Raw genomic sequence first — 22,467 nt, 5'->3', positions numbered from 1 at the left:
CCCTCACCAGATGCAGAGGCCAAATCTTAAACATTCCAGCCATTAAATGATGAGTCAAATAACCCCTTTTTCTTTATAAAGTATTCAGCCTCAGGCATTCCTTTATAGCAGCACAAAATTGATAAAGACATTTGGCACTCACCTGGATTGCCCTGATGTATAAAGTTTCTAGGCTCATTCTCTTCTACCAGCTACTAAACGACAGGGTCCTCCGGGCTCTTGCATGGGCTCTGTCTTAGTTATTAATTGCCGAGAAGCACATCCTCCTCAAACTTAGTAGCTTAGAACAACAGGCACTTTTTATCTTGCAGTTTCTCTGGGTCAGGAGCCTGGCTGTGGCTTAGCTAGATGTTTCCGACTTAGAGTCTCATACAGCTGCAGTCAAGGTGTTGCAAGGTGTTAGCTGGGGCTCAGTCATCTGAAAGCTTGAGAGGGATTGTAGAATCTGCTTCCAAGCTCTTTCACAGGTAGTTGGCAGAATTCCTTTCTTTACAAGATGTTGGACTAAGGGCCTCAATCCCTCACTGGCTGTTGGGTGGAAGCCTTCCTCAGGCCCTTGCTACATAGATCTGTCCCCAGGGCAGCTAACAATATGAAGTTGACTTCTCTCAAAAAAAGTGACTGAGAGGGGGCATTCAAGATGGAAGCCAGTGTTTTTGTCATCTAGTCTTGGATGTGACATCCCATTACTTTTGCCATATTATATATTTTTGAAATGAGTTGCTAGGTTCAGCCCACATTCCAGTGGAGAGGATTGCAAATGGACAAAAATACCAGGAGGTGCAGATAATTGGGGTCACCTTAGAAGCTGCCTACCACAGGCATCCTTCTCTTCTCACTCTCTTCCTTCTCCTTAGACCATCTCACACACACAGAGACTTTAATTACCAACCACACGTGAAAGGGAGACTATTCACAAACTTGTATTTTCAGTCCAGACCTCTCCTCTGATATCTGGACTTGTGCCTAACTGATCAATTGATATTTCACTTACATTTCTCAAAACCTTCTCAAATGCAACATGCCCCAAACTGCATTCAAGCCTGGTCTTGTTCCACTGTTCCCTAAGTGTGAGTTATGGTACAAGTTAAGATATGAGGCAGAGAGACAGGGCTTTAAAAATAGTCATTTTTCTTTCTATTAATAAGCCAGAGGTAGACAGGTGGCTCAGCTCTCCTGCACACAGTGTCTTGTTGCTCTGTTGCCCTGCTTCCCTTTGGATGTTGTCTTCATCTGCATGGTCAAAGCTGGCTTGCTATCCCACATCCATGTTCCACCATATAAGAAAGGAGAAACAAAGGATATAAAGAGTAAGCAATTTCCTTTTTTAAAGAATGTGACCCAGAAGAAGCACACATTACTTTGTTCATATCACTTTGATAAGGCTTCAGGTAGTTGTAAGGGGAGGTGGAACATCTAGTCTATAGCTGGGTAGTGTGTTCCCAGCTAAAACTTGGATATTATGTTACTACCTTAGTCTAGTGTCCTAGTTTGTTTTGTGTTGTTATAACAGAATGGCATGGACTGGGTATTTTACATGAATAGAAATTTATTGGCTCATGGCTATGGAGACTGGGAAGTCCAGTGGCAAAGTGGTAGCAACTGGCCAGGGACATCTTACTGTGTCATCCCATGGCAGAAGGTGGAAGGGCAAGAGAACACAAGAGAGCAAGAGAAACGAAGGGGGCTGAACTTACTCTTTTATTGGAAACCCACTGCCATGATGACTAACCCACTTTGAGGTCATGGAATTAATCCATTTATTAGCATTGGTCTATCCAACGGTATTAATCCATCCATTAATCAATTCATGAGCCCTAATGACCTAATCACTTCTTAAAGTTCCCACTTCTCAACACTGTAGCATCGGGCATTAAGTTTCCAACACATAAATTTTGCGGGACACATTTAAACCATACCACTGTGTTTCCTGGAAAGCGAGTCTGGAGCTGAAAGTTTACAAATCGGAGTAACTAACAAGGAGAGTGAAGAAGAAAAGAGAGACAACTAATATGAGGGTACATGTTAATTGACCAATCTATAGAAACAAGACACCAAGAAGTTGTATCAACTGTTCCTGAGGACCAGACCTCTGGGAGAGAATGCAGGAAGAATATCTCCAGTAGCTCTTCTCATTGGTCAAAACATTTTTCAGTGGAGTGCCGACTCTTTTGCTTTTCTGAGTTTCCATGCAAAACATGGGCACCGTGCCAAGTCCAGTGAAATCAGCAAAAGCCCATGTGGGAGGTGAGAAAGGCATAGCAGGGACCAGAGGGGAGGGAGCTATCAGACTGTGCCTGCTTTGGGTTCATCAGAACCCTCCCAGAGCTGATAAAAAAGGTAAGTGAGCCTGAGAAGATCGGAAGTTGGCATGTAAGAAGACTCCGGTGCAATCACTAAAGGAAAAAGGAGAAAGTAGATACTGGGGCTTGCTCACCAGTTCAGCCACACCATGTTCACTTAGTTCCAGCAAGTGAGAAACCTGAGACGTCCCAAAAGCTCCCTTTTCCTTACACCCATACCCAATCCAACATATTGCTCAAGTGTACTTACTTCTCTCCATTTTATCTACCACACTCTTAATCCAGGCTCCTATCATCTCTCCTGGGGATTAATGTCTCCTTATTGGACTCTTGTCCTCTTGCTCTTTCTCTTGCTCTCTTGTGTTCTCTTGCCCTTCCACCTTCTGCTATGGGATGACACAGCAAGGAGTCCCTGGCCAGATGCTACCACTTTGACACTGGACTTCCCAGTCTCCAGAACCATGAACCAATACATTTCTATTGATATAAAATACCCAGTCCATGCCATTCTGTTATAGCAACACAAAACAAACTAGGACAGTAGGCTAAGGTGCTTGTCCTCTTGCCAATCCACTTTCGGCATACAGCCAGTGTGGCTTTTCTGTAACACCAACTGGATCATGTCACCATGCCCTGCCAATTAAAACCCTTCGACAGCTTTCCATTGCTTGGAGGATAAATGCAAAACTCCTCAAGGTGTCCCACAAAGCCCAGTGTGGTCTGGCTCCTTGTCTTCTCTTACAACACAGTCCTCATTGTCCTCTGTTCCAGCCTCTCCCACCTTCTTTCAGCCTCTGCTGTCTCAAGCTCCCAGCTTCTGCAGGAAGTACACGATCTGCCCAGTGCTTGCTGTAATTGTTCGTCATGGTTTTCACCTCTCTGCTTCTTATCCTGTAGCTCTCAGTACTGTTACCATTTTCTTAGGAAAGTCTTTCCAAATTTTCCTGACTAGGTCAAACTCCTATTATATATGTATCCACTCTTGGATTCCCCAACAGGCTGGCTAAACATCTCTTTCAGGCATTAGAGAAACAGGGTCACTCCCAATTTTTCATAACATGCTATTTGATTCCTTTTAGCATAAAATACTTTCAAAGATGTCATTATGGGAAAAATAAGGCTTTTGGGGATTTCTTTACACCTATCTTTAAATTGTTTGTTTTCATTTAAAATAGATTATGGAGGGGGCCATGATATTTTCAGTCCTTTGAAGTCTCTAAAAGTCAGACTCTAAAAATCCTGTCTGTGGACATAGCTTTCCTTGTAATACTTTGCACAGTTACAGCTTTACTTTTTTACATCATTCTTTAGTAGATGCCTCTGTCCCTGACAAGGCTCTATCTTTCGAGGGCAGAATCCTGGGTGGGGTTTTGATTTACCATTGAGCTTAGCATAGGGCCCCCTACAGAGGAAGGACTTAGTGGACATTTTTTGAGTGAGTCACAAAGCCCTGAAGCCCCAGCTCTGGCTCAGTCACTAATTAGCTGTGTCCCCCGCAACCTGTCTGTGCTGAAGTTCCCCTGTCTTAACAGAGTGGCTGCTGCCTGAGAAACAGGAAAACGTATTTCCAGAAAGAGAAAGAGGGAAAGGAAAATATACACACATATTTTAAGAGATTTGTCTAATTAAATCTGTGAGTGATCTTCAGGGTCCCAGGGCTGACATTGGAATAACTGGGAGGGCTCATGGATAAAGAATATCTCCATAGACACCTTCTTATGTGGGCCAACTCAACTGTGTAGCCACCCTTTTTCCCATGCTAAAATTAATGAGTGTATCGAAAGAGATTTCAGTGCAAAGTTCATTGAGATAAAAGATTCAGATAAGAGGCTCAGCAGAGAAACAGGTGAAAGGGAACATAAGAAATGCTCAATAAATGTTTTTAGTGGTGGGTAGAGAAATGAGTGGAAGCTGGAATCGCTGTCCTGCGAGAAGCCACAAGGTGGCGCTGGGTGCTCAGCAATGAGATTCCTGCCTCCAGAGATTTGGCTCAACTTTTCTCTATCAATGTCAGCTTATTAAAAAAAAAAAAAAAAAAAAAAGCAGTCTTTTTCTAGTCCATAATTTTCCTTAATAAAACAGGGTAACATTTTCCCTTTCATATGTTGTCTTTACAGAGTGACATGCTTGAGGAAGAGTGATGAATAATACTGAGGATGATTCAACGTCTCTTGGTTTTACTTCTGCACCACCCAAACAGAAAATAATTAGACAAGAACATTTCTTTTTCTATATCAGTGTCATAACATGTATTATTACAGTGCGGTGTAACCACATGTCAGAAGAGAATGTGTAGCTCAAAACACTGAACTAGGTGGAGAGGCCGAGGCCTTAATTCTCCAAGAGACTGGGACCTGTGCTGGGTTCTAGCGCCTGTTCAGCGTCAGAATCATCAGCTGGGTAAGTTCCTTTTGCTAAGGGTTCTTCTAGCCCCTGAGCCATAAGGTTCCAGGGTAGACAATTCCAGATACCACAGGGCCCTGGAATAAGGAGAGAGGTTGGGCTTAGGTGCACCCTCTGGGGTCTCAGGCTGCTGGGTCTGCATCCCGGTGGCGGGGCTGGAAGCCAGTGCTGGGACTCCTGGTGCTCAGAGGGAGGTCAAAGCTGAGTAGCAGCTCATCTCCACCAGAGGTCAGCATCACCGAGCCATCAGAGGCACAGCAGCCAAACAGCCAGGCTCAGGAGGCAGCTCTGTGCTTGAGCTGGCTCACCCATGTCCAGTTCTTCTTTCCACCTCCCCAACCATCCTTAGGGCCCGAGCAGTCCTAAGAGTGGGAGATGCTGTAGCACTAGTGTTGTGCCTTCTTGGCAAGGGTAGATTGCCGCTGGATACCTGTGGGACCCGTGGGACTGATGGGTCATTCATCAGCAGAGCCCCGCAGCATCTGGGGCAGCTACCTCTCTCTGTGCTCACACAAAGCTGTTGACTATCCCACTGGCTTCTGTCAAAGCCTCGGGCAGGCAGGGCAGGCACGTTCCACACTTCAAGGAACTAAGATGGAAAGTATCATTAAAGAAGAAGAATAAGAAAAAAATATGACTTTACAAACTGTTTAAGATTAAGAACTGTCTACCATGGTAGCTAAGACTGTAGATCCTCAAACCAGCCCTCCTAGGTCTGAATCCCATCTCCAATACTGAGAAATGGAGGGGCTTAGACAAGTTTCTTATTGTTTCGCATCTCAGTTTCTGCATCTGTAAACTGGGAATATTATCATTCCCATTTATCACTATTGATCCTCTCTACCCATTGGGTTATTGTGGGGATTAAATGAGATGATTGTAACAGAAAATATTAACTGAGCATTCGCCCTGTGCCAGGCATGGACCTAAGTCTGGTATCTAAGCCTATTATCTCAGAATTCTGACAATGCTGTATACGGTTACTCCTATTTTATAGTTGATGAAACAGATGCTTCATATGCTAGCAGAACTAGTATTTGAAACCAGCTATTTTTGCTTCCAGGGTTTACTTTTTAAATCATGGTCCTTCACTAGAACAGTGCCTGCTGACATGGAGTAAGCACTTAATAAATAAGAGCCATTATTATTATTATTAATAATTTTGTTTTAAGTTCTGGGATACATGTGAAGAACATGCCGGTTTGTTACATAGGTATACATGTGACATGGTGGTTTGCTGCACCTATCAACCCATCATCAAGGTTTTAAGCTCTGCATACATTAGGTATTTGTCCTAATGCTCTCCCACCCCTTGCCCTCCACCCCCCACCAGGCCCCAGTGTGTGATGTTCCCCTCCCTCTGTCCATGTGTCCTCATTGTTCAACTCCCACTTATGAGTGAGAACATGCTGTGTTTGGTTTTCTTTTCCTGTGTTAGTTTGCTGAGAATGATGGTTTCCAGCTTCATTCATGTCCCTGCAAAGGACATGAACTCATTCTTTTTTATGGCTGCATAGTATTCCATGGTGTGTATGTGCCACATTTTCTTTATCCAGTCTGTCATTGATGGGCATTTGGGTTGGTTCCAAGTCTTTGCTATTGTAAATAGTTACTAGTATTATTCACTAGTATTGTTATTGCTGCTATTGTGGAGTTATTCATAGCTTGATCTTTATGTCTATGGGTCAATGAGTAATTACAAACATGCTGGTTTTACAAATTATCTTTTTATCATCATAGCTGTGAGCCTACGTGAATTTTTCTCCACTCAATCTCATCATCCTTCAGACAGGCGGAGAGAGCGGGATCCATCTATGAGATTTCTCTGCTGAGAAATCTCCTCCCTCCCTCCAATGAAGCAACAGCAGGTCATATCTGAATGCAGAAGCATGGCCTTGTGCTGGGAAAACACATCCTGGCTGTAGAGCTCTCAGGCTTCTAGAGTCAAAGCCAAGGGTTCAAATCCTCTCTGTCTTACTCAGAAGCCACATGGTCCTGAGACAGTGAAGTAACTCTGTGAACCTCAGTTTACCAATCTGTAAGATGGGGATCATAATGTAAAAGATGGCATTAAAACTTACATTGGGAAAAAGCATTTGAGTGTGCTTATACAGTGCCTGGTAATAAACTTTACCTATTAGGATGCAATACACTACCTGTTACTATGGGAGTAATAGTAAGAGATGACTACCTAAGTCTGGTATCTAAGCCTAGTATCTCGTAGTTCTGACAATGCTATATACGGTTACCCCTATTTTAAGGTTGATGAAACTGAGGCTTCGTATACTAGCAGAACCAGGATTTAAAACCAGGCATTTTTGCTTTCAGAGTTCACTTTTTAAAATCATGGTCCTTCACTAGAACAGTGCCTGCTGACATGGAGTAAGCACTTAATAAGTAAGAGCCATTACTATTATTATTATTATTTTTTGTTTGTTGGTGACAAACTACCTGTAGTTGGAAAATTGGAATTGGAGTCTTCTCCTTAATATGGGCCTTTGGTCTGAAAAACTGCACCTGTTTCCTAACGAGCCTAACCCATTCTAACCCATCCTCAAAGATGCCTCCAGAGTGAGCATCCTAAGGCTTAGATATGATCCTTCAGCTCAGCACTATCCAATAGGACTATAACAGAAGTTACATATGTGATTTTAATTTTCCTAGTAGACACATTAAAAAAGTAAACGAGGCTGGGCATGGAGGCTCACTCCTGTAATCCCAGCACTTTGGGAGGCCGATGTGGGCATATCACTTGATGTCAGGATTTTGAGACCAGCCTGGTCAATATGGCAAAACCCTGTCTCTACCAAAAATACAAAAATTTTCCAGGCATGATGGCACATACCTGTAATCTTAGCTACTCGGGAGGCTGAGGCGGGAGAATCACTTGAACCTGGGAGACGGAGGTTGCAATGAGCTGAAATCCCGCCACTGCACTCCAGCCTGGGTGACAGAGCAAGACTCTGTCTCACAAAAAAAAAAAAAAAAAAAAAAAAAAGTAAAAGAAACAAAAGAAGTAGACTTCATTTTAACAATGTACTTACTTTAATATATCCAAATGTTATCATTTTGACATGCAATCAATAGAAAAAAATTACTAATGAGATATATTACGTTCTTTTTTCATACTAAGTCTTTGAAACCCAGTGTGTGTTCTACACCTGCAGTGTCCCACCATCTGCCTGGCCACATTTCCAGCCCTCCATAGCCACACATGGCAAGTGGCTCGCCCACTGCACAGTGCAGTGTTAGCTCTTCAGCAGCAAAATGGCATTTGCTAATTTTCTTAGCCTTATGTCACTTTAGTCCTAGGACATTTTAAATTCTTTCTTTCTTTTCTTTTCTTCTTCTTTTTTTTTTGAGATGGAGTCTCACTTTGTTGCACAGGCTGGTTGAAGTGGTGCGATCTCGGCTCACTGCAACCTCTGCCTCCCAGGTTTAAGCAATTCTCTGCCTCAGCCTCCAAAGTAGCTGGGATTACAGGCGCCCGCCACCACACCCATCTAATTTTTGTATTTTTAGTAGAGGTGGGGTTTCACCATCTTGGCCAGGCTAGTCTTGAACTCCTGACCTTGTGATCTGCCCGCCTTGGCCTCCCAAATGCTGGGATTACAGGCGTGAGCCACCACACCCAGCCTTAAATTCTTCCTTTTGCATCTTTGCACCTTAGCCTGTGTCTTTCTGTCCACATGGCATTCTTTGCATGCTGTCTCCTTTACCTTGCTGAAACCTTATACCAGCCCTGGGGCAGTAGATATTCTAATGACTCCCATTTTACAGATGAGAAAACCAAGACTTGAAATGATCACACTCCTTGGTGCTCCATGGCAAAGTGACTTGTAAGTGGCTACCTGACTCCAGCCTCTATGTTCTGAACCACTCTCCTCTCCTGAAGGTTGAATGGGTAGGGATGCCAAGACTGGAATGGGAATGGGCTGCTGGAGGCAGGATTGAGTGTCTGGTCAACAGGGGTATTCAAGAGACCCCTGGATGGTCCTCAGAGTGGGTGTGGTAGAGGAGATTTCTGCACTGAATTGGGGTCAGGGATGCAGGTTGAAGATGCTCGTTGCAGGTCCAGGAATCTGGGATGTTTTCTGTTCCCCGGGGGAGGTTTCTGGGGCACTGTGGTCTCCATTGCCTGTTTGGGCCCCAGGGTGGAAGGCTTGATTTCTTCCTTTAGCTGTGCAAGGCTGGCCTTCCCCAAGACTTCCCACAAGGCCTTCCCACAAGGCTGGCCTTGCCTTTGTGCAGCCTCTGGGCTAATTGCGTTGGTCTTCTACCCTGGAGGGCCTGGCCCAGCATCCTCCCATTGTCAGTGCTGATATATATCTCATTAATGTAGACTCACTGTAAATATTTTTAGAAACACCATGTTGCTCTCCTGAAGGCTGGCAGGGCTGGGTGTGAGCCGGCCTGGTCCTGTCAGCCTCTTCCTGACCTCCTTCCTGCCTCTGCTGTACTTCCTGTCTTCACGGCCTCCTGCCCAAGTCCCTCCTCTCAGCCAAACAAAGACTTCCTCTGCACCTAACCTTTGGGGGTGGGAGGAGAAGACAGGGTGGCATAGGGACACCTGGACAAAACCCTTTGGCTCTCCCTCCCTTGCTTTCCCCATGGGTAAGGTCAAGTGTGTGGAGCAGATCGCAGCCACAACCTTTCGGCATCAAAGACTGTCTCGCTTGCTTTCCTGTTCTCCCCACAGTGAATCCTTTTTAAGGAAGGAGTCTGTTGATCTAACCCACCTTGTTTATGAAATCGTAATGAATTCATCTGCTCAGTTTTTATTCATCAAAGGCATGATGAGCAGCATGGAGTAACCAGAGTCCCCACACTAATTTATTAAAGTCTAAGCTCGCGGTGCTGGTGCTTGACATTTAAAGAGGGTTGTCTTATGATAGGGTGAGAAGAATGTGCCATTTCCACAAGATTTCATGAAATGCTGATGCTGGCCCAAGCTACTGCCTCTCTCCCCATTTCTATCATCAAGGGTCTCTGATGTCAGCGTGGGAATCAATGGGCTAATAAAATTTTAGGCATCTTTCCTGTTCTAAGTCATGGGAACCCAGTGCCCCATCCAGATTGTCCTAAGAAAGTTCTTTCTTTCTTTTCTTTTCTTTTCTTTTTTTTTTGAGACAGAGTTTTACTCTTGTTGCCCAGGCTGGAGTGCAATGCTGTGATCTTGGCTCGTAGCAAATTCTCCTGTCTTAGCCTCCTGAGTAGCTGGGATTACAGGTGCCCACCACCACGCCCAGCTAATTTTTTGTATTTTTAGTAGAGACAGAGTTTCACCATGTTAGCCAGGCTGGTATCGAACTCCTGATCTCAGGTGATCCACCTGCCTCGGCCTCCCAAAGTGCTGGGTTACAGGGGTGAGCCACCAGGCCCAGCCCCTAAGAAAGTTCTGATTACTCCAGAGGTTATAGAAATGGGGGTCCTACAATTCCAGTGCATATATTAGAGGGCACTATGTATGGGGCGCTGTGCCAAGTAATGGGGGGATGGGTGGGTAATGGTAGGTAAAAGGGTGACAGGAGGTGGGTGGGAGATAAGGAAAGGCTTCCAGACCCCTGATTCTCACAGTCTAACAAATAGCCCGTCAAAGTGGGCTTGGTGCTGTAGTGGGGAGAATGGATTCTCATGTGATCTTGCCATTCATCAACAAGAGGGTCAGTTTGTCTCCCACTTTTGATCTTTTTGGCAAGAAACCCACTTCTCCAATCACATCTGGAAGCCATAGCCATAATTCCCAGAATCACAGAAAGCTAAACCCGGCTGGCCCAATGTCCTCATGTACAGATAGGGAAACTGCCCCACAGAGAGGGGCAAAAGCCTTGCCCAGGGTACAAAGCAAGCTAGTTATTGGAGTTCAGGTAAGATATCAGTGACTCCTAAGAAACCTCCCCGATCTATACTATCTGAAAATGCCAGTTTCCATTTACTCGCTGCATCACTCTCCAGTTTATCTTTCCTTGTAGTGCTTATCATTACCTGAGTTCACTGCATTTATCTAACTTTCATCGTTTTGTCTCTCTTCCACCTCTAGAATGAAAGTGCAGGAAACCGAGGGCATAGTTTGAATTGCTCACACTGTATGGCAAGTGCCTCAAATAGAGCCTGGCACATAGTAGTTGCTCAAATTTTTTTTTTTTTTGAGATGGAGTCTCGCTCTTGTTGCCCAGGCAGGAGTGCAGTGGCGCGATCTCGGCTCACTACAACGTCTGCCTCCTAGGTTCCAGTGGTTCTCCTTATTCAGCCTCCCAGGTAGCTGGGATTACAGGCGCCCGCGACCATGTCCGGCTGATATTTGTATTTTTAGTAGAGACGGAGTTTCCCCATGTTGGCCAAGCTGGTCTCGAACTCCGTACCTCAGGTGATCCACCCACCTAGGCCTCCCAAAGTGCTGGGATTACAGGCGTGAGCCACCGTGCCCGGCCAGTAGTTGCTCAATATTTTCTGAGTGAATGAATTAGGATGGGATTAGAACAAGAGGGTCAGTTTGTCTCCCACTTTTGATCTTTTTGGCAAGAAACCCACTTCTCCAACCATATTTGGAAGCCATAGCCGTAATTCCCAGAATCACAGAAAGCTAGAACCAGGCCAGTGGGTGAGTTTTCTTGCTGTCCCCAGAGACCAGGGAGTTTTGGGAGTTTGCAGTATGGCCTTAGAGTTTGAAATAGCACCAAATGGTGGGGTTGGGGGTGGAGAGAGTTGCTGAGGGGGTTTCTGTTTTAATTATCAGAAAGCGGCTGACCATTTGTTTTTGGTCAGATAAGCTGCTAAAGTCGGGCGTGTGTGTGTGTGTGTGTGTGTGTGTGTGTGTGTGCGCGTGCGCGCGCGCACGCGCGCGTGCCTAGGGTGGGGGTTGGGGGTGTTGTGTGCTAGAGAAAGGAGAGGTGAAATTCCTCAGTGTGGGCTGGGCAGTCAAGTTATATCCCTCCTGTGTCCCTGCCCTCCCTTCCCCTTTCCCTCAGATAACACCACCAGCTGTTAGGGACACAGCTGTGGCTGCCTCTCGGGAAGGAGAGAAAAAGGCCCTGTTGCCCTGGGTGAGTTCCCAAGCTGTGGAGTTCAAAGCAGACCTGTGAAGTGAGGGGGCTGGAGCAGAGAGCTAGGAGGGAGGAGGTGAGAAGTCAGGAAGAGCACAGAAAGGCAGTACTTCCACTTTGATGTCCCCAGCCCACAGCTTTGGGTAGGGTCTGGGTGAGGTCCCAGCAGAGGGGTTCAGCTTTCCCCCTTCATCCCAAACTCTTAGAGAGATCCAATTAAGCACCCGTCCCTGTACTGCAAGCAGTGTGTTTATTCAGATCTCTGATCCCACTACACACAAGCAAGCACACTCTTCTACGCACCTGATGTACATTCCTTGGGTGAATGTGTGCATTCAGTGCACGCTCATGCCTACAACACACAAACATGCATACTCTTCTATACACGTTAATGCATGAACCCAATGCACATCATAGCCCACTATGCACAAGCAAGCACACTGTTCTACATGCATGAATGCATGCACCCAATGCACATCCTACCTCACTATGCACAAGCAAGCACACTATTCTACATCCATGAATGCATGCACCCAGTGCACACTCATATCCCCCTGCACACACAAGTTCAGCCTGCTCACAAGCACCTACAGACTTCACATCCAAGTGACCTCGTGGCACACAGAAAACTTGCATTCACAAAGCACACATAGTCAGCATGTCCATGGGCACAGGCCAAGTCAGGCTCTGCTTTTTAGGCCAGGCACAAACCTGGTGGTGGGGTGGGTGAGGAATATTGAACCACTGACTCCAGAGGTCTCCCAGAAGTCTGGGCTCTCCTCAAAGGGCACTAGCAGGTCTGGAGTGCTTTTCTGCCAGGTGTCATTCATCTCGGTCTCATCACAATGCCCTGAAGAAATCACCCAGGAGAGAGAGGGAAGTTCCCCAGGAAACCTGTGCAGGCCTCTCCAGGGCAGGCCAGCTCTGGGCACCCTGGCCAACAGGCTTGCCTTAGCTATTGGTTTGCCAGATAGCTCAGAGTAGAATTTCCTGGATCACTTTAGCAAAAGTTGCCTTGTTAATGCAGTAGAGCAGCTCTGGGGTGAAGATCCAAGTCTTACACCCTTCTCCTGAGTGTGTTTCTATTGCTTTAATTCAACAGACTTTTACCAGGTGCCAAGTAGGGTGGGGGGCAGAAATGAAAAGAAGATATCTGTCCCAGGCCTTGTATATGTCTAGTCTGTGAGGCCCAGGACCCATATACTTCTGAGCCCCGGGACACACAAGTTTCATCTTCAGCTACTGGTCCTATTTTCCAGTCTTTCTTCTGTGTGGAATGGTGCAATGCGGAACAGGGACAGATCAGATCAGGCAGGATAAGGAGTGAGCTGGCTAATTCTGCTCACTTCAGGCTGTCATTGCAGGGGGCACTCAGGCCATCTGGCTACAGCTGGCTCCTGGTTGGAGGCCGGATCTTATCAGCACTCTACCCTCTCTGGTCCCAAACGGTGGCCTCTTCCCAGCCCTGGCCCCCAATTCCCTCCCCTCTCAATGAGTCTGGTAACTCTAGTGAGATTAACTGCTCTTTACTCCCTCTAGGGCAGACATCCTGGAGGTCGGCAGATGAAAGCGATGGATCCATATCCTTTCCCACAGGGGTCTCCAGGCTCCTGTCTGGCTCAGCATTCCAGTGGGAACAGCTGAGGGGAGGGAGACAGGGACCTGATTTCAGGGACGCTTCAAGCTTGCTAGCTCCCTTCTCTCTGTATTTCTAGCTGCAAAGGGCACAGACATCTGCATCTTTCTGGGAGAATCATGGGAGAACTGGGATCACTAGGCGTCTCAAACTTGGTCTTTATCCTGGAATGTCCCAAGCAGTAATGTTTACTCGTAAAAGGGCCATCTATTATGACCTGACCTGAGCCAAGCTGGTCCCTGCACAACTCCAAGGTCCCCTTTGATAGGTAAAGATAGCTTACCACTGAAGAAGTCTGAGGTAGCCAAAGGTTAGCTATTTCCACCCAGGATATAATGTCAGGATATAATGAAACTATTATATCAGGATATGATGAATGAATCATGATATGATGAATGAATGTCAGGATATAATGAAAACCATTCTGCCATCTGCGCAGAACTTCTATTAGCCAAAAATGCAGGAGCAAGAGGCCCCAAGCAATTCCTACCCTGTGTACTGTGAGATGGATGGAGCCCCAGCTCTGGATCCTATTGGGTGTCCCAGCCCCCACTGTACAGAATGCCAAGATTCCAGGGGCAGAGTCCTGTTAGCTTTCTAGCTGGCACCAGGCAACCAGGAATTCTCTTTGGCAATGGCTAGAGCGAGGGTGGTTTCTGGATCAAGTCTATGGTGCTAACCCTAAGTGTACAGATTATTGCCTGGCAGGATTCTTATACCCTGTCTAATCAATGTGAGGTGTGTCTCTAAATAGTCAATCTATTTAAAATCTCACCCGGTAGAGCTTATTTTAAGGTAAATTACAGGTATCCTGGCATCGCCCTACATTTCTCTAATGCTTAACAGATGACACACCCCTCAGTTTAAAAAGGATTGGGCGTTTTTCTTTGGGAGCATAGTGGTTTAGTCCATGGGCTCGAGACAGCTTTGGTTCAAATTCTGGCTCTGACAATTACTGCTGGGTGATCTTGGCTAAACTGCTTCACCTCTGTGTGCCTCAGTTTCCTCATCTGTAAATTGAGGCTAATGAGAGCACCTGCCTCCTAATGTCATTTTGATGATTAAAAGAGATACTAATAAATATATGTAGAATGTATAAAATGTTTAGAAGACTGCCTGGCACACAATAAGTGGGCAACATGTAGTCCTCATGAGAAACACCAACATATTCATTACTCCACATTGCATTTAGGTGAAGGTCACAGGATCTTTCTAATCTCTCTCTGCAGCCTTCTCTCCTGTATCTCCCCACTGCACTCTAAGGCTTTTTCTATCTTTGCATTTTTTGTTTCCTCCTCCTGCCCCATCCTCTTGGTTCTTCTCCTGCCTTCTATTCTTGGCAAGCTCCTGTTTAAAGAACACAAACTCGGGGGCCAAAGACATGTTTTACTTATCATGGTCTGTGCTTTTTTTTGAAATGAAAATTGATTTCCAAAATTTACAAATATGAAAATTTCTTACAAAAATCCATAATTTGAAATTATCTTGGAAAAATCCTAAGACACAGTCATGCTGGGGTCCAGCTTTCTGCGTGGCAACCAGAGACTAGAGCTGAAGAGGCCTCCCTATGATGGAATGGGCACCCTCCAGTTTGCCACAGTCTTTACCATTCTCTGTTGTCTCAAACTACACTCTTGGCCTGTTTTTTTTTTTTTTTTTTGCAGGTATTTGAGTTTGAGTTCCTTGATCTCTGCATATGATTTTCTGATCCACTCTCCCTCCAGAAAATGGATTCCAGCTTTTGTAGTAACTTAAGACAAATATATATCGTGAGACAGGGTCTTGGCTGTGTTATTCAGGCTAGTCTTGAACTCCTGGGCTCAAGCAGTCTTCCTGCCTTGGCCTCCCAAAGTGCTGGGATTATAGGCATGAGCCACCTTGCCTGGCCAATTCCAGCTTTTGTAAGTCTTTTGCCTTGGAAGTGGCTAAGGCTCAGCTCCTGCTTTTGTTCCATCTCACTATTACCCAACGTCAGGTGGCTTCCCCAACTCTTCAAGGTTGTGGAAAGGGTGCGTATTTTTTAAAAAAAATCTTACGTCGTGCATCTTCCTTCCTTCCTAGAGGTCCTGGAGAGGTGATGAGCTGGGGCAAAGTGAGCGTCTACGGAACTTTCCCCACAGTATCCTCCAGTGACTGAGTCTTTCTCTAGAGACCCCCCTCCTCTAGCTCAACTTCCTGACCCCCTGTGGTCTTACAGAAACCTCTTGGTCCATGGAGGATAGTAAAAACCTGAGAACTGAAATGTATCCATGTTCTCACCACGTAGTAATTCTTACACTTGTTCTTCCATCTATGGATTCCCCTTTTCACTCACCTCCTACATCATCCATCCACTTACTCACTCAACAGCCATTCACCTGGCTGGGCGTGGTGGCTCATGCCTGTAATTTCAGCACTTTGGGAGGCCGAGGTGGGTGGATCATCTGAGGTCAGGAGTTTGAGACTAGCCTGGTCAATCCCCATCTCTACTAAAAATACAAAAAAATTAGCCTGCAATCCCAGCTACTAGGGAGGCTGAGGCGGGAGAATCGCTTGAACCCAGGAGGCAGAAGTTGCAGTGAGCCTAGACCAGCCTGGGCAACAAGAGTGAAACTCTGTCTCAACAAACAAACAAACAAACAAAACAGCCATTCACCTACGACATGCCAGGTACTGTATTATGTTCGTGTTTGGAGAAGAAGAAAAGCAAACAATCAACTGTAGCATAATTCACTTTATTACCTTGGGCAAAACATTGACCTTGTTGGGCCTTTGTTTCCTACAGATTTAATGACTTGTTTAGAGATAATTTTGTCCTGGGTTTCTTCCATCCTGTGACTGCCCTCAACCTTCTAAAGCATCCTGTGCCTTCCGCAAACTGCAAACTGCAGTCTACACTAGTGTAGGGGTATTTCTCTAGAAACCACAAAAGTTCTCAGAGGGAGGGTCAAAGCCAAGGGGTAGAGAAAGATGAAGCGAGAGGCAAAGTGGGAGAAGACCCTCCTGTGACACCTGGTCTGGGTGGGGGCTGGGGGTGCAGGAAGGGAGCCGAGGGGGCCAGACCTGCCTGCCAGGAGGACCTGCCAGATGCCCTGCCCATCCTGCGAAATCTTACACCCTCCTTGCTCCCTACCAGCCCTGGCTCCAGCTCAAGCTGGATTGCAATCTGCATAATGTGTCCCATTTAGATTGGATGGAAGGGGGTGAGAACAGGAGGGCGGAGAGCACTGAGGAGGGAGTGCCCTAAAGGGCAGGCAGGAAGTGGTGGCCAGAGGAAAGTGGAGGGATAGGGGCTGGGGTGAAGGTGGGTGGCAGCCAGAAAGGAGAGGCGGGGCCAGGAAAGCCGACTTGCAAAACCACAGATAATGTTCAGCCCAGCACAGTAGGGGTCAATTTGGTCCACTTGCTCAGTGACAAAAAGAAAAAAAAAGTGGGCTGTCACTAAAGATTTTGACTCACAAGAGAGGGGCTGGTCTGGAGGTGGGAGGAGGGAGTGACGAGTCAAGGAGGAGACAGGGACGCAGGAGGGTGCAAGGAAGTGTCTTAACTGAGACGGGGGTAAGGCAAGAGAGGGTGGAGGAAATTCTGCAGGAGACAGGCTTCCTCCAGGGTCTGGAGAACCCAGAGGCAGCTCCTCCTGAGTGCTGGGAAGGACTCTGGGCATCTTCAGCCCTTCTTACTCTCTGAGGCTCAAGCCAGAAATTCAGGCTGCTTGCAGAGTGGGTGACAGAGCCACGGAGCTGGTGTCCCTGGGACCCTCTGCCCGTCTTCTCTCCACTCCCCAGCATGGAGGAAGGTGGTGATTTTGACAACTACTATGGGGCAGACAACCAGTCTGAGTGTGAGTACACAGACTGGAAATCCTCGGGGGCCCTCATCCCTGCCATCTACATGTTGGTCTTCCTCCTGGGCACCACGGGCAACGGTCTGGTGCTCTGGACCGTGTTTCGGAGCAGCCGGGAGAAGAGGCGCTCAGCTGATATCTTCATTGCTAGCCTGGCGGTGGCTGACCTGACCTTCGTGGTGACGCTGCCCCTGTGGGCTACCTACACGTACCGGGACTATGACTGGCCCTTTGGGACCTTCTTCTGCAAGCTCAGCAGCTACCTCATCTTCGTCAACATGTACGCCAGCGTCTTCTGCCTCACCGGCCTCAGCTTCGACCGCTACCTGGCCATCGTGAGGCCAGTGGCCAATGCTCGGCTGAGGCTGCGGGTCAGCGGGGCCGTGGCCACGGCAGTTCTTTGGGTGCTGGCCGCCCTCCTGGCCATGCCTGTCATGGTGTTACGCACCACCGGGGACTTGGAGAACACCACTAAGGTGCAGTGCTACATGGACTACTCCATGGTGGCCACTGTGAGCTCAGAGTGGGCCTGGGAGGTGGGCCTTGGGGTCTCGTCCACCACCGTGGGCTTTGTGGTGCCCTTCACCATCATGCTGACCTGTTACTTCTTCATCGCCCAAACCATCGCTGGCCACTTCCGCAAGGAACGCATCGAGGGCCTGCGGAAGCGGCGCCGGCTGCTCAGCATCATCGTGGTGCTGGTGGTGACCTTTGCCCTGTGCTGGATGCCCTACCACCTGGTGAAGACGCTGTACATGCTGGGCAGCCTGCTGCACTGGCCCTGTGACTTTGACCTCTTCCTCATGAACATCTTCCCCTACTGCACCTGCATCAGCTACGTCAACAGCTGCCTCAACCCCTTCCTCTATGCCTTTTTCGACCCCCGCTTCCGCCAGGCCTGCACCTCCATGCTCTGCTGTGGCCAGAGCAGGTGCGCAGGCACCTCCCACAGCAGCAGTGGGGAGAAGTCAGCCAGCTACTCTTCGGGGCACAGCCAGGGGCCCGGCCCCAACATGGGCAAGGGTGGAGAACAGATGCACGAGAAATCCATCCCCTACAGCCAGGAGACCCTTGTGGTTGACTAGGGCTGGGAGCAGAGAGAAGCCTGGCGCCCTCGGCCCTCCCCGGCCTTTGCCCTTGCTTTCTGAAAATCAGGTAGTGTGGCTACTCCTTGTCCTATGCACATCCTTTAACTGTCCCCTGATTCTGCCCCGCCCTGTCCTCCTCTACTGCTTTATTCTTTCTCAGAGGTTTGTGGTTTAGGGGAAAGAGACTGGGCTCTACAGACCTGACCCTGCACAAGCCATTTAATCTCACTCAGCCTCAGTTTCTCCATTGGTATGAAATGGGGGAAAGTCATATTGATCCTAAAATGTTGAAGCCTGAGTCTGGACGCAGTAAAAGCTTGTTTCCCTCTGCTGCTTTCTTAGATCTGCAATCGTCTTTCCTCCCTTCTTTCCTTGTAGTTTTTCCCCCACCACTCTCTGCAGCTGCCGCTCCTTATCCCTGCCTTCTGGCACCAATCCCCTCCTACAGCTCGTCCCCCTCCCTCCATCCATCCTTCTCCCCTGTCTACTTTCTTGTTCTGAAGGGCTACTAAGGGTTAAGGATCCCAAAGCTTGCAGAGACTGACCCTGTTTAAGCTTTCTATCCTGTTTTCTGAGTGTGAGGCAGGGAATGGGCTGGGGCCGGGGGTGGGCTGTGTGTCAGCAGATAATTAGTGCTCCAGCCCTTAGATCTGGGAGCTCCAGAGCTTGCCCTAAAATTGGATCACTTCCCTGTCATTTTGGGCATTGGGGCTAGTGTGATTCCTGCAGTTCCCCCATGGCACCATGACACTGACTAGATATGCTTTCTCCAAATTGTCCGCAGACCCTTTCATCCTTCCTCTATTTTCTATGAGAATTGGAAGGCAGCAGGGCTGATGAATGGATGTACTCCTTGGTTTCATTATGTGAGTGGGGAGTTGGGAAGGGCAACTAGAGAGAGAGGATGGAGGGGTGTCTGCATTTAGTCCAGACACTGCTTGGCTCGCTCCCCGAGTCCTCCTGTTTCTGACTTCCTGCATAACTGTGAGCTGAAGGGTTTCCTCATCTCCCCATCTTACCCCATCATACTGATTTCTTTCTTGGGCACTGGTGCTACTTGGTGCCAAGAATCATGTTGTTTGGGATGGAGATGCCTGCCTCTTGTCTGTGTGTGTTGTACTTATATGTCTATATGGATGAGCCTGGCATGAACAGCAGTGTGCCTGGGTCATTTGGACAAACCTCCTCCCACCCCCCAATCCACTGCAACTCTGCTGTTCACACATTACCCTTGGCAGGGGGTGGTGGGGGGCAGGGACACACTGAGGCAATGAAAAATGTAGAATAAAAATGAGTCCACCCCCTACTGGATTTGGGGGCTCCAACGGCTGGTCCGTGCTTTAGGAGCGAAGTTAATGTTTGCACCAGGCTTCCTGTAGGGAGATCCCTCCCCAAAGCAGCTGGCGCCAAGGCTTGGGGGCGTCCTACTGAGCTGGGTTCCTGCTCCTTCTTGGGCTCCATGAAGGAAGTAAGAGGCTAGTTGAGAGCCTCCCTTGGCCCCTTTCCGGTGCCTCCCCGCCTGGCTTCAAATTTATGAGCATTGCCCTCATCGTCCTTTCTTGTTCCAGGGTCAGTGGCCCTCTTCCTAAGGAGGCCTCCTGCTTGCCATGGGCCAAAAGGCACGGGGTGGGTTTTTTCTCTCCCTACCCTCAGGATTGGACCTCTTGGCTTCTGCTGGATTGGGGATCTGGGAATAGGGACTGGAGCAAGTGTGCAGATAGCATGATGTCTACACTGCCAGAGAGACCGTGAGGATGAAATTAATAGTGGGGCCTTTGTGAGCTAGAGGCTGGGAGTGTCTATTCCGGGTTTTGTTCTTGGAGGACTATGAAAGTGAAGGACAAGACATGAGCGATGGAGATAAGAAAAGCCCAGCTTGATGTGAATGGACATCTTGACCCTCCCTGGAATGACGCCAGCTCTGGGGGCAGAGGGAGGAGGAGAGGGGAAGGGGCTCCTCACAGCCTAGTCTCCCCATCTTAAGATAGCATCTTTCACAGAGTCACCTCCTCTGCCCAGAGCTGTCCTCAAAGCATCCAGTGAACACTGGAAGAGGCTTCTAGAAGGGAAGAAATTGTCCCTCTGAGGCCGCCGTGGGTGACCTGCAGAGACTTCCTGCCTGGAACTCATCTGTGAACTGGGACAGAAGCAGAGGAGGCTGCCTGCTGTGATACCCCCTTACCTCCCCCAGTGCCTTCTTCAGAATATCTGCACTGTCTTCTGATCCTGTTAGTCACTGTGGTTCATCAAATAAAACTGTTTGTGCAACTGTTGTGTCCAAAGCCTCTTCTCATGAAAGTGTCTTGGGATAACCTCCAGCTTGCAAATGTTTCAGCATGGTGAGGGGGAAGCCGTAAAGAGAAGTGGGAGCTAAAAGGAGGGGGCGAAGTGAGGAGGGAGAGAGGATGGAGGAAATAGGCATCAGGAAAGGGAAAGGATGGGATTTAGGTGCAGAGAAGAAAAGGAAGAAAAGAAACAGGGGAGCAGCTAAGTGTTGTGCTCTGAAAAGCCACAGAACAAAAGGACACATATTTTGGAGGCCAGAGCATAGGTCTGGGGAAAAATACCAGCATTTCTTCCCATGGAGGTAGACCTATTACTCATCTATCCATCCATCCATCCATCCATCCATCCATCCATCCATCCACCAATCCATCTACTCATTTATGCCTTTATTCATTTACCATCTCCTATTGATTGATTTACTTAATATCACTTGAGTAGCCACTGAGTTTAGACCAGAAGCTTGAATCCCTGTTCTCCAATCAGAGTCGCTCTGGATGCTTTTGAAAATACCCAGTTCCTGGGTATCACCCCAGACCTATGGAGTCAGACTCTCCTTGACTCACCCCAGATATTTACAATTACTAAAAACTCAGATAATTTTTTGGGAAAGCCAGGCTTAGGGAATCTCTATCCAGATGGATTCTGCCCAAATTAAAGTGGGCATAGAAGACCAGAGGGTCAGAACCACAGCCAACTGGGCTTTGGTGGTCATCTATTTGGAGGAGGGGGGAAGGGGCTGAAATGATCCTGGGGTCGGCGTGGTGGTGGGGCTATTCAGTCCAGAGGTATTTGTCATCTTCAATAATGATCTCCTGGGTATTAATAATGTTTGCAGACAATGCAAAAAAATAATAATCATAGTAGAACTGATAGTAACAAGAGAGCTCGCATTTATGGAGTTCTGCCACTGTGCTAAGCATTTCCCAAGCATTATCTCATTTAATCCTTGCAGCCATCCTTTAAGAGGGGGCATTTTCACCTCATTTTGCTCATAAGGAAGCTGAGACTCAGAGAGGTTAGTTAGACCTCTTGACCAAGATCACAGACTAGCAGGTGGAAGAGCTGGGCTTGGAACCAGCTGAATCTGTCTGGCTCCCAAGCCCAAAGCCCACATTCTTGACCATGGTAAGGGGATGTTTCTCCCAAAGTACAAATGAGGCAACACTAGGTGTCTGGGAAGGAAAGTGAGAACTTCTGTGTGAGATGCCTGGCACACAGTGGAGAGTGAATGGGGATGGGGAGGGAAATGATGGAGAGTACCCGAAAGACAGAGACAGGGCAGAGAGGAGAAAGCAGAGGGACAGAGAAAGAAGAGAGAGAGGCGAGATAGTGAAGAGAAAGATAGAGACAAGGGAAGAGAGAGAGGGGGAGAGAGAAAGAGAGAGAGAGACAGAGAGAGAGAAATGAAGTATGGGGAGAGAGAAACAGAGGCAGAGATAGTGAAAGAGAGAGATATAGAAGCAGGGAGAGAGGAATTGAGAGAGAAAAGACAGAGGGAGAGGGAAGAGAGAGTGAATCAGGTAGACAGTGAAAGAGAAAGATAGAGACAAAGGAGGGAGAGAGAGGAGAGACAGGGAGAAAGAGAGAGATTGAGAAGAGAGAGAAACAGAGCAGAGATAGTGAAAAAGATAGAGACAGAGGCAGAGGGAGGGAGAGAGAAGAGAGAAACAGAGGCAAAGATAGTGTAAGAGACAGAGATGGAGGGAGAGAAAGAGAAAAGAGAGACAGAAAGAGAGAGGAAAGAGAAACAGAGGCAGAAATAGTGAAAGAAAAAGACAGAAAGAAGGAGAGGGAGAGAAGAGAGAGGAGAGAGAGATTGAGAGAGAGGGAAGAGAGAGAAACAGGCAGAGAGAGTGAAAGAGAGAGAGAGAGAGAGAGACAGGGA

At 47.5% G+C, this 22,467-nt stretch overlaps 1 protein-coding gene and 1 long non-coding RNA gene across 3 annotated transcripts in view, besides 3 other annotated features; both read left to right on the top strand.

Annotated features, from left to right (window-relative positions):
• LOC107984364 (uncharacterized) overlaps positions 1-6,801 on the top strand; it is a 28,972-nt gene extending 22,171 nt beyond the window's left edge. The window contains exons 2-3 of the long non-coding RNA XR_001748067.3: positions 4,421-4,703; positions 6,447-6,801. This is a non-coding gene — a long non-coding RNA (uncharacterized LOC107984364). The remainder of the gene's footprint in view (positions 1-4,420; positions 4,704-6,446) is intronic.
• Positions 11,506-11,800: an enhancer, noted in NCBI's record as "tiled region #4343; K562 Activating DNase matched - State 5:Enh". NCBI's record gives its function as "activates a minimal TATA promoter and a strong SV40 promoter by Sharpr-MPRA in K562 cells {active_cell/tissue: K562}" and the evidence as "EXISTENCE:reporter gene assay evidence [ECO:0000049][PMID:27701403]".
• Positions 12,823-13,589: an enhancer, noted in NCBI's record as "NANOG-H3K27ac hESC enhancer chr11:57008040-57008806 (GRCh37/hg19 assembly coordinates)". NCBI's record gives its function as "activates a minimal SCP1, AML or CMV promoter by ChIP-STARR-seq in naive H9 embryonic stem cells {active_cell/tissue: H9 hESC(naive)}" and the evidence as "EXISTENCE:reporter gene assay evidence [ECO:0000049][PMID:30033119]".
• Positions 16,631-17,263: an enhancer, noted in NCBI's record as "H3K4me1 hESC enhancer chr11:57004366-57004998 (GRCh37/hg19 assembly coordinates)". NCBI's record gives its function as "activates a minimal SCP1, AML or CMV promoter by ChIP-STARR-seq in naive H9 embryonic stem cells {active_cell/tissue: H9 hESC(naive)}" and the evidence as "EXISTENCE:reporter gene assay evidence [ECO:0000049][PMID:30033119]".
• On the top strand, positions 16,905-20,564 carry APLNR (apelin receptor). Of its 2 annotated transcripts, NR_027991.2 has the most exons (2): positions 16,905-18,363; positions 20,297-20,564. NR_027991.2 is itself a non-coding variant. In NM_005161.6 (1 exon), the coding sequence occupies exon 1, from the start codon at positions 17,151-17,153 to the stop codon at positions 18,291-18,293; it is 1,143 nt and encodes a 380-aa protein (NP_005152.1). In that variant the 5' UTR covers positions 16,905-17,150; the 3' UTR covers positions 18,294-20,564. The 2 variants fall into 2 exon arrangements, 1 of the variants encoding a protein (NP_005152.1); NM_005161.6 differs by having other exon boundaries at positions 16,905-20,564.
• Positions 20,565-22,467: the final 1,903 nt, after the last annotated feature.

This window comes from Homo sapiens, chromosome 11 (genome assembly GCF_000001405.40).
Source record: "Homo sapiens chromosome 11, GRCh38.p14 Primary Assembly".
NCBI classification, from domain to species: Eukaryota; Metazoa; Chordata; class Mammalia; order Primates; family Hominidae; genus Homo; species Homo sapiens.
This window is presented reverse-complemented; position numbering and strand designations above follow the sequence as displayed.

Bases quoted from the DNA above. Each gene is read 5' to 3' on its own strand.
- APLNR (NM_005161.6), top strand. From the start codon at position 17,151: ATGGAGGAAGGTGGTGATTTTGACAACTACTATGGGGCAGACAACCAG.